Source organism: Homo sapiens, chromosome 1, assembly GCF_000001405.40.
Source record: "Homo sapiens chromosome 1, GRCh38.p14 Primary Assembly".
Taxonomy (NCBI): Eukaryota; Metazoa; Chordata; class Mammalia; order Primates; family Hominidae; genus Homo; species Homo sapiens.
The window spans coordinates 248,936,363-248,946,422 of record NC_000001.11 but is presented as its reverse complement, the minus strand read 5'-3'; the positions used below and the strand labels follow the sequence as shown (position 1 = coordinate 248,946,422).

Genomic DNA, 10,060 nt, shown 5'->3' with positions numbered 1-10,060 from the left:
CCCTAACCCTAACCCTTAACCCTAACCCTAACCCTAACCCTAACCCTAACCCTAACCCTAACCCTAACCCTAACCCCCTAACACCCTAACCCTAACCCTAACCCTAACCCTAACCCTAACCCTAACCCTAACCCTAACCCTAACCCCCTAACACCCTAACACCCTAACACCCTAACCCTAACCCTAACCCTAACCCTAACCCTAACCCTAACCCTAACCCTAACCCCAACCCCAACCCCAACCCCAACCCCAACCCCAACCCCAACCCTAACCCCTAACCCTAACCCCTAACCCTAACCCTAACCCTAACCCTAACCCAACCCTAACCCTAACCCTAACCCTAACCCTAACCCTAACCCTAACCCCTAACCCTAACCCTAACCCTAACCCTAACCCTAACCCTACCCTAACCCTAACCCTAACCCTAACCCTAACCCTAACCCTAACCCTACCCTAACCCTAACCCTAACCCTAACCCTAACCCTAACCCCTAACCCTAACCCCTAACCCTAACCCTAACCCAACCCTAACCCTAACCCCTAACCCTAACCCTAACCCTAACCCTAACCCAACCCTAACCCTAACCCTAACCCTAACCCCTAACCCCTAACCCCTAACCCTAACCCTAACCCTAACCCCTAACCCCTAACCCTAACCCTAACCCTAACCCTACCCTAACCCTAACCCTAACCCTAACCCTAACCCTAACCCTAACCCTACCCCTACCCCTAACCGTAACCCCTGACCCCGACGTTGACCCCTGACGCTGACCGTGACCTTGACCCTGACCCCTAACCCCTAACCCCTAACCCCGAACCCGAACCCGAACCCGAACCCTAACCCGAACCCTAACCCGAACCCTCACCCTCACCCTCCATGAGTAATATGTCTGTTATATTTTGGGTGTCATGTGTGCATTAGGAATGCTGCATTTGAGTTGCGACGCTGCAGTTGAACCCTGCAATACAGCCCCTCGCCTTGCCTTGGGAGAATCTCGGTGCGCAGGATTCAGAGAGGCTTTTCGTTTCCCGCTTTCCACACTAAACCATTCTAACTGGTCTGTGACCTTGATTATTCAGGGCAGCAACCGGGAAAGATTTTATTCACCGTCGATGCAGCCCCGAGTTGTCCCAAAGCCATGCAGTACCCCCAACGTATGTGCTGAGAAGAATGCTGCTCCGCCTTTACGGTACCCCCCAGGTCTGTGCTGAACAGAACACAGCTCCGCCCTCGCAGTGCCCTCAGCCCGCCCGCCCAGGTCTGACCTGAGAAGAACTCTGCTCCGCCTTCGCAATACCCCCGAAGTCTGTGCAGAGGAGAACGCAGCTCCGCCCTGGCGATGCTCTCCGGGTGTGTGCTAAAGAGAACGCAACTCCGCCCTCGCAAAGGCGGCGCGCCGGCGCAGGCGCAGAGAGGCGCGGCGCGCCGGCGCAGGCGCAGAGAGGCGCGGCGCGCCGGCGCAGGCGCAGAGAGGCGCGCGCGGCGCTGTTGGGGAGACGCGGCGCAGGGCATAGACGCACGCCGGCGCCTCCCCGGAGGGGAGGGGTCGCTGGGCGGGCGGGAGTGAGGCGCGGCGCAGGCGCAGAGACGCACGTCGCTCGGCTGAGGGTGGCGGGGAGTGTTGCAGTCGCACAGTCGCGCGCCGCCGGGCGGGGAGCGCGGGGGTGGCGCGGTGCACGCGCAGAGACACACGTCCCCGGCGGCGCAGAGACGAGTGGAACCTGAGTAATCTGAAAAGCCCGTTTTGGGCGCCCCCTGCTTGCAGCCGGGCACTACAGGACCAGCTTGCCCACGGTGCTCTGCCATTGCGCCCCCTACTGGCGACTAGGACAACTGCAGGGCCCTCTTGTTTACAGTGGTGTCCACCGCCCCCTGCTAGCGCCGGGGCACGGCAGGGCTCTCTTGCTCGCAGTATAGTGGTGGCACGCCGCCTGCTGGCAGCTAGGGACATTGCAGAGCCCTCTTCCTCACATTGTAGTGGCAGCACACCCGCCTGCTGGCAGCTGGGCACAGTGCCGGGCCCTCTTGCTGGCATTGTCGTGGCTGCACGCCACATGCAGGCACATGGGGACTACGCAGGGCACTCTTGCTCCCGGTGTGACGGCTGCCGTCCCCTACTGGCCACCTCCTGCACCACTTAAAGTCAGAGCGCCAGTTATTAATCCCCATCAGTTCTGTAAATTAAAACTGAAAAGGAGCTATTACTGCGGAGAGCTGATGTCCCAGTTATTAACTTGGAAGACAGCTTTTCACCAAGAGGCAGTACAAAGATGGAAGATAACTTCATTGAAAAGAAATACAGAGTAAAGAGCTTATTGTACAAAAATAGGGAGGAGTAGGCTGATAGTGCATGAAAACAGCCTAAGAGTCCTGTGCAGGGATTTTTATTTTGGACTTCTTCACATTCCTGCCTCTGTCTCAAGTCTCCGCCTGTTTTCTTTCGTTTTCCTGCTACTGCCATAGGTCCCCGACTTGCCCCACTTAGCCTTGTGGGACCTCCTCACTGTTGATTGAGGTACATGTGTGGTGATCAATCCGAATCCACTCTGGCACCAGCCTCCTTCCCGCCATACCAGGCAGGCTGACAGCGGTCACGTTTGTATCTACTGCAGCTGCCTCTTTTGAATGTCTTTCTCTGCCCTAATCTGTACTTATGGTGCCAGGTTTCTCTTAAAAATGTCCCCTTTGTCCTTCTTATCAGCATGTAGCTAGCAATATTCTGACATTTTTATTGCAGAGTGAATGATGATTGGGGCATCTTTTTTTTTTTTTTTTTTTTTTTTTTGAGACGGAGTCTCGCTCTGTCGCCCAGGCCGGACTGCGGACTGCAGTGGCGCAATCTCGGCTCAATGCAAGCTCCACTTCCCGGGTTCACGCCATTCTCCTGCCTCAGCCTCCCGAAGAGCTGGGACTACAGGCGCCTGCCACCGCGCCCGGCTAATTTTTTGTATTTTTAGTAGAGACGGGGTTTCACCTTGTTAGCCAGGATGGTCTCGATCTCCTGACCTCATGATCCACCCGCCTCGGCCTCCCAAAGTGCTGGGATTACAGGCGTGAGCCACCGCGCCCATCCGATTGGGGCACCTTAAGAGAAGTTCTAGGGTGTTTCTGCGTAGGTACCTCTTCTCCCTCCTAACCACAATTGACAAGTGCCCATCCACTCCAGCACTAGAGATGCTACTAATATGTGCATTTTTGGTGGTCCCTCCAGGTGAGCCTTCACAGACTTTCCCTTTTCCAGGAGCTCCCCCTCCTGTTCATGTCTAGCTAGCTATCTACTCTAACAGAGCCCACTATCCTGTGTCTTTCCCAAAAATAGTGAGGGAATGATTAATTGGAAACCATAAGAAATGATATGCATGTAGAGGAAAACTTTACAACTTACACAAATAATCACTCAAAATCATCCTTACACTAAAAATGCAAAACTATACAATTTCTAGAAGAAACTATAGAGGAAAAGCTGTGTGCCTTTGCGTTTGGTAATGAATTTTAACAAATGACACAGAAGGTTGATATACACAGAAGAAATGACAATGTGGATTTCTTAATATTTACAGTTTATACTCTGGAAGAGACCTTGTCAAGAGAACAAAAAGACAAGCCACATATTGAAGAAAATATTTGCAAAATACAGATCTGAGAATTTGTATTCAAAATATATAAAAAATTGTTAAAACTAAACAATAAGTTAAACAACCCAATTAAAAATGCACACAGATCTGAACAGACACTTCACCAAAGAAGATCTACAGATGGCAAGTACACTTACAAAAAGATGCTCAACATACTAGAGAACTGAAAACCACAAAAAGATAGCACAGCTGGTCTATATCTCTTAGAACTGCTAAGCTCTTTAACAAATGACAAATTGCTGGAGGAAAAACAAGAACTCTTTTCATTGCCAGTGGAACACAGTGTATAAGACCAAACTATGCCACCCCAAAATATAATGGTAGGAAACCAGAATATGCAACCCCAAAATATGTCCCTTTGGCTTAAGAATTATTCCAAGCTAATTATTTTGAAAAAAAAAATGCTAACAAAGGAAGTTGTGAAAATAGAGTAGAAGTTACTTGTGTAAGGAAAATTTACATCTATAAAGGAAATCACCATTTAAAAGCTACCTCTCTCGACACCAAGAAGAGAAGGATAACTAAATCACTGAAGAGTCTTATCAATGGAGAATGCATGGACTTAAGTCTGTATAACGAACCTTACCCTTGTCTAATGTGCTTTTGCTGGTTAACTCCCCACTACTGCACCTCAAATCTTCTTTCTTTAAGTTGAAGATAGTATTTATGCTTGAATTGAAAGCCACCTGTTGGAGATTTACTCATTTTTCCCTGAGTATCTCCCATGTAACCATAAGATATACATGTTTTTAAACTTTTCTCTTTTTCTCATTTTAATCTGTCAGTTTTTACAGAGCGTTCCATCTAAGAATTCCAAAAACAGAAAATTATTTTTCCTCCCCTATTACAAGTTGGGCATTTTTTTCCAAAGCTAAACAAGTCTCACCTTACAATCCAAAAATAACATTCCTAGGTATTTTGACAACTACTTTGATGTTATTTCCCATCAAAAGCTACCATGCAGTTATTTACAGAAGCCCTATTCATAATGACCAAAGGAAAAAAAATGAATCAGAAAGTCTTACAATAGATGACTGTGTGGGAATCCACTCAGACATCAAAAGTTGTTATAAAGATTATTTAAATGAAAACATTTGAGATACTGAAGATGAAGAAATCTTACCAGAACTTACTTTATCCAATTAAAGCACAGCTCCCAGAAAAATACAGCTGCCATTAACCCCATCCAAGGAGTTTCTTGCAAATTCAGCTGCCATGAAGACAGCGTACTCTTTCCCATTAGCATTGATAAATGAAAATTAAATTCTAAGCTCCCAACTGACTGAACAGACCCACTCTTGGCTGAGGGGACCCCAGAGTAACTTTCAAAACTGAGTTCTCAGCTTTGCTAGGATGGGATGATGGGGTTAAGATACACATCGTTATACCCCCTCCTTTGCTAACCATGATGAGGCTTTCTTCCCTAAGGATTTAACAGAAACCAGCCCTTTCAAAGCCTCCACCACTGATATCAACCTCTCCTTTCTTGCCTGATAAGAGACCACCCACGATGGAGAGGTTCTGGCCAGCGTACAGAGGATGCACAGAGCAAGTTTTCATGTCCTCTGCTTCACCTTTTAATGTCAGAGGGCTGAAAACTCCACCCTGGGATCATGCTAACACTGCCATTTTTTGTACATGGGACCCATGAAGAAGCAAGAAACTCAATTGTGCGTGCATGCATTTCTCCTTCCATAAATATTCATGACTCCTCCTAGAGCTTATTAAATAAATCTATTTGGCCATTCCACTCAGCATAAGTTGCTATTTCCTTTACCTCCTCCTTGAAGCATCTGTTTCTGGCTTCTGGCTGGAGGCTATGCTTCCCAGCCTGTCAGAAGGACAACCCTGCAGGCTACAACCCTTTATAGAAAATAAATCTCTCACTGGGTGGGTGGCTCATGCCTGTAATCCCAGCACTTTGGGAGGCCGAGGTGGGTGGATCACCTGAGGTCAGGAGTTTCAGACCAGCCTGGCCAACATGATGAAACCCTGTCTCTACCAAAACTGCAAAAAATTAGCCAGGTGTGGTGGTGGGCATCTGTAATCCCAGCTAATCAGGAGGCTGAGGCAGGAGAATCGCTTGAACCCAGGAGGCGGAGGTTGCAGTGAACCAAGATCATGCCATTGCACTCCAGCCTGGGCAACAAGAGTGAAACTCTGTCTCAAAAAAAAATAAAAATAAGCATAAAAATGAAGAAATGTCTCCTTTCCAAATTTATGAACCTCATCATTCTTCCGTTCACAGCATTAAAAGGTTCAAAAAGACCTTTCCATACTCTCCCACAGAAGCCCTAGAAATTGTCATTTTGTTAATCATTCTGGATGCCTGAGAACTTGTAATCCAATGAGTAGAAAGTTTGGTACCCCATTTATGGCTGTCAACCTGCCAGTTCTCAGGAGTTTGTATAAAAGCCTAAATCCGAAAGGATCTCATCCCATTAGGACCCTTGTCTCCTTTTCTGTTGCCTTTGCCCACTGGCTCTGGCAACAGGGGTCTTTCTTTCTCCTTGGCTATCTTTGGATATGGGGGCTCCGTCTTCTGTGCCACCTTAGGGAATGCCTTTTGCAGGCATGGCTAAGTCATTAAAAAGCCTACAGTTTCAGTAACATTTTGAGTGAGCACTCTCTGAAGCTGCGTTGGAATCTCAGGCTTCTTTGTCTGGAAGATAACTCTTGGGCTACAAGTTTCTTATCCTAGCTTTGGTTTTGAGGCCTCTCTGTTCTCCTCTTGGGTTGGAAGTTATTCCTGGCTTTTTGTTTCAAGGTGTCTGTGATCTTGATCTTGCTGCTTTCATGGGAACTTCTCACTTCACTAAATTCTCCCTTCTCAAACCTCTGCTGACTATGTGTTCCACCAATATGGAACTAATTCTACTTCTTTTCCTGTTTGCATGACTTTACTAAGAATTATTTACAACTTTAATGGCTCCTTTGAGAAAATTTTTATCTTCCAAATTGCCTCCTTTTAGACCTTTCCTTTCCCAGTTGAGTCTCTCAACTCCCTATAATCACTGAAACTTCAGGCACCCCACTCCATGCCTTGGAGGCTCTCAGTGTGCTCAAGAATCTGCAAAAGCAAACACCTGGGGCTGAAGAATAAAATAGAAAAAAAATTATTTCTCAGCCTCCATAAGATTCTATGTCAAAAAAAAAGAAAATCTTTAAAATCTCCAAAAATATTGGTGAGAAAAAAGCCTTAGCCCTCATATGAAGAAGAAAAAACTTGTTCCATTTTCCAGATACATAGTTATAATACAAATATAAAATGGGGCAAAGACAAAAACCAAGTCTTCTATATAAACTAGTGAATTGTGTAGTTATTGTAATCACATTAGTCAGGGGTCTCCAGAAAGGCAGAATCAATAGGATATATGTAGACAGATGAGAGAAGATTCATTAGGGGAACTGGTTCACATAACTATGGAGGCTGAGAAGTTCCACAATAGCCTGTCTCCAAGTTGGAGAACCAGGAAAGCTGGTAGCATGGCTCACTCCAGATACAAAGGACTCAGAATCGGGGAAGCCAATGGTGTAACTCTGATTGTGAGGCCAAAGGTCTGAGACCCTGAAGTTCTGATGTCAAGGGCAGGAGAAGAAGGATGTTTCCATTTCAGAAGGAGATAATTCACCTTTCCTCTTCCTTGTTATTCTATCTGGGCTCTCAACCAATTGGATGCTGCCTGTATTCATCCATTTTTATACAGCTATGAAGAAATACCTGAGTCTGAGCAATTTATAAAGAACAAAGGGGTTTAATGGGCTGACAGTTCCACATGGCTGCGGGGGCCTCACAATCATGGCAGAAGGGGAAGCAAAGCTATCCCTCTTCACATGGCAGCAACAAGAAGTGCTGAGCCAAAGGGGAAAAGCCCCTTATAAAACCATCAGATCATGAGAACTCACTCACTGTCATGAGAACAGCATGGCGGTAACCACCACCATGATTCAGTCACCTCCCACTGGGTCCCTCCCACGACATGTAGGTATTACAGGAACTACAATTCAAGATGAGATCTGGGTGGGGACACAGCCAAACCATATCAGTGCCCATCCACATTGGGTCATGGTTATCTCAGTGTCTTCCAGAAACACCCTCATAGATATGCCCAGAAATCGTGTTTGACCAGCTGTGTGTGTCTCTCAATCCAGTCAAGTAGACGTCTACGATTAACCATCAGAATATTTATGCCTGATTCATGGCTGAAATCGTGTTTGACCAGCTATGTATGTCTCTTAATCCAGTCAAGTAGATGTCTAAAATTAACCATCAGAATATTTATGCCTGATTCATGGCTGAAATCGTGTTTGACCAGCTATGTGTGTCTCTTAATCCACTCAAGTAGATGTCTAAAATTAACCATCAGAATATTTATGCCTGATTCATGGCTGAAATCGTGTTTGACCAGCTATGCGTGTCTCTTAATCCACTCAAGTAGATGTCTACAATTAACCATCAGAATATTTATGCCTGATTCATGGCTGAAATCGTGTTTGACCAGCTATGTATGTCTCTTAATCCACTCAAGTAGATGTCTAAAATTAACCATCAGAATATTTATGCCTGATTCATGGCTGAAATCGTGTTTGACCAGCTATGTGTGTCTCTTAATCCACTCAAGTAGATGTCTAAAATTAACCATCAGAATATTTATGCCTGATTCATGGCTGAAATCATGTTTGACCAGCTATGTGTGTCTCTTAATCCAGTCAAGTAGATGTCTAAAATTAACCATCAGAATATTTATGCCTGATTCATGGCTGAAATCGTGTTTGACCAGCTATGTGTGTCTCTTAATCCACTCAAGTAGATGTCTAAAATTAACCATCAGAATATTTATGCCTGATTCATGGCTGAAATCATGTTTGACCAGCTATGTGTGTCTCTTAATCCAGTCAAGTAGATGTCTAAAATTAACCATCAGAATATTTATGCCTGATTCATGGCTGAAATCGTGTTTGACCAGCTATGTGTGTCTCTTACTCCACTCAAGTAGATGTCTAAAATTAACCATCAGAATATTTATGCCTGATTCATGGCTGAAATCATGTTTGACCAGCTATGTGTGTCTCTTAATCCAGTCAAGTAGATGTCTAAAATTAACCATCAGAATATTTATGCCTGATTCATGGCTGAAATCGTGTTTGACCAGCTATGTGTGTCTCTCAATCCGATCAAGTAGATGTCTGAAATTAACCATCAGAATATTTATGCCTGATTCATGGCTGAAATTTCAGGATGACAGCTATGAAATCTCTATTTGTGTTTGTATATCTATTAATGTATGTTATGTATATGTGATATTTTCTGAACTCCAGAGAGCATTGCAAAATTCATTTATGAAATCCTCTAAAAGTGCTCTATTCTAACTTGGCTTGGAAAAAAATAAGCATTTATAAATAAATATTCACCAAACTCCTAGAAATATAGGAACTGATCAAATGTTTCTTAAGTTAACATGATTTGGATAAAACTTAGTTAAATAAGATTAATATAGTATTTTTGGTGTAATAAAACAACTATATCTTCAAAACTATCATTATTGAATATAAAACAAGCATAAATTCCTATTCTGCTTGAGTTCTAGTCAAATAAGCTAATATTATACTTACTAGAAACGTAAAATCTTAAAGCTTATAGATTTGATTCTAATTAAGTTGTCATTCTTATGAAAAACATTATTTTTTTATGCTGAAAAGATACACATATATTTAGAGTTAGCCAGCTGGACTCAGTTTAGGTGATCCCAATTTTGTTACAACATCGAAAGCATCATAATCAGGAGCAAGTCGAACATATGCCTTGTTCTCTTTATCAGGACAAATCAGGGTGGTGACCTTGGCCACATCACTGTCATAGAGCTTCTTCACAGCCTGTCTGATCTGGTGCTTGTTGGCTTTAACATCCACAGTGAACACAAGCGTGTTGTTTTCTTCTATCTTCTTCACGGCCGACTCAGTGGTCAGCGGAAACTTGATGATAGCATAGTGGCCAAGCTTGTTTCTCCTGGGGGTGCTCTTCCGAGGATATCTGGGCTGCCTCCGGAGTCGCAGTGTCTTGGGCCGCCTGAAGGTGGGTGACATGCGGATCTTCTTTTTTGCGTGTGGCTGCGGACACCTTTCAACACTGCCTTCTTGGCCTTTAAAGCCTTCGCTTTGGCTTCGGCTTTAGGAGGAGCAGGAGCTTCCTTCGCTTTCGGTGCCATCTTGTGAAAAGCGAAAAACATTATTTCAAAAATAATTTGTTTACAGTAAATCTGCCTATGAATAGTTTCCAAAGTACTTTTGGTAATTTTTAACCTTAAAGTTAAGCTAAGTAAAAGATTTGCATTAAATATCTAGACCATTTATAAATAAGATACAATACTAAAACATTAATTACTGAACATAAATAATTCAAGTTTATATACTTTTGGCTCCTATTT

General features: G+C 44.4%; 1 pseudogene; it reads right to left on the bottom strand.

Moving 5' to 3' along the window:
- Window positions 9,324-9,852, bottom strand: RPL23AP25 (ribosomal protein L23a pseudogene 25; annotated as a pseudogene).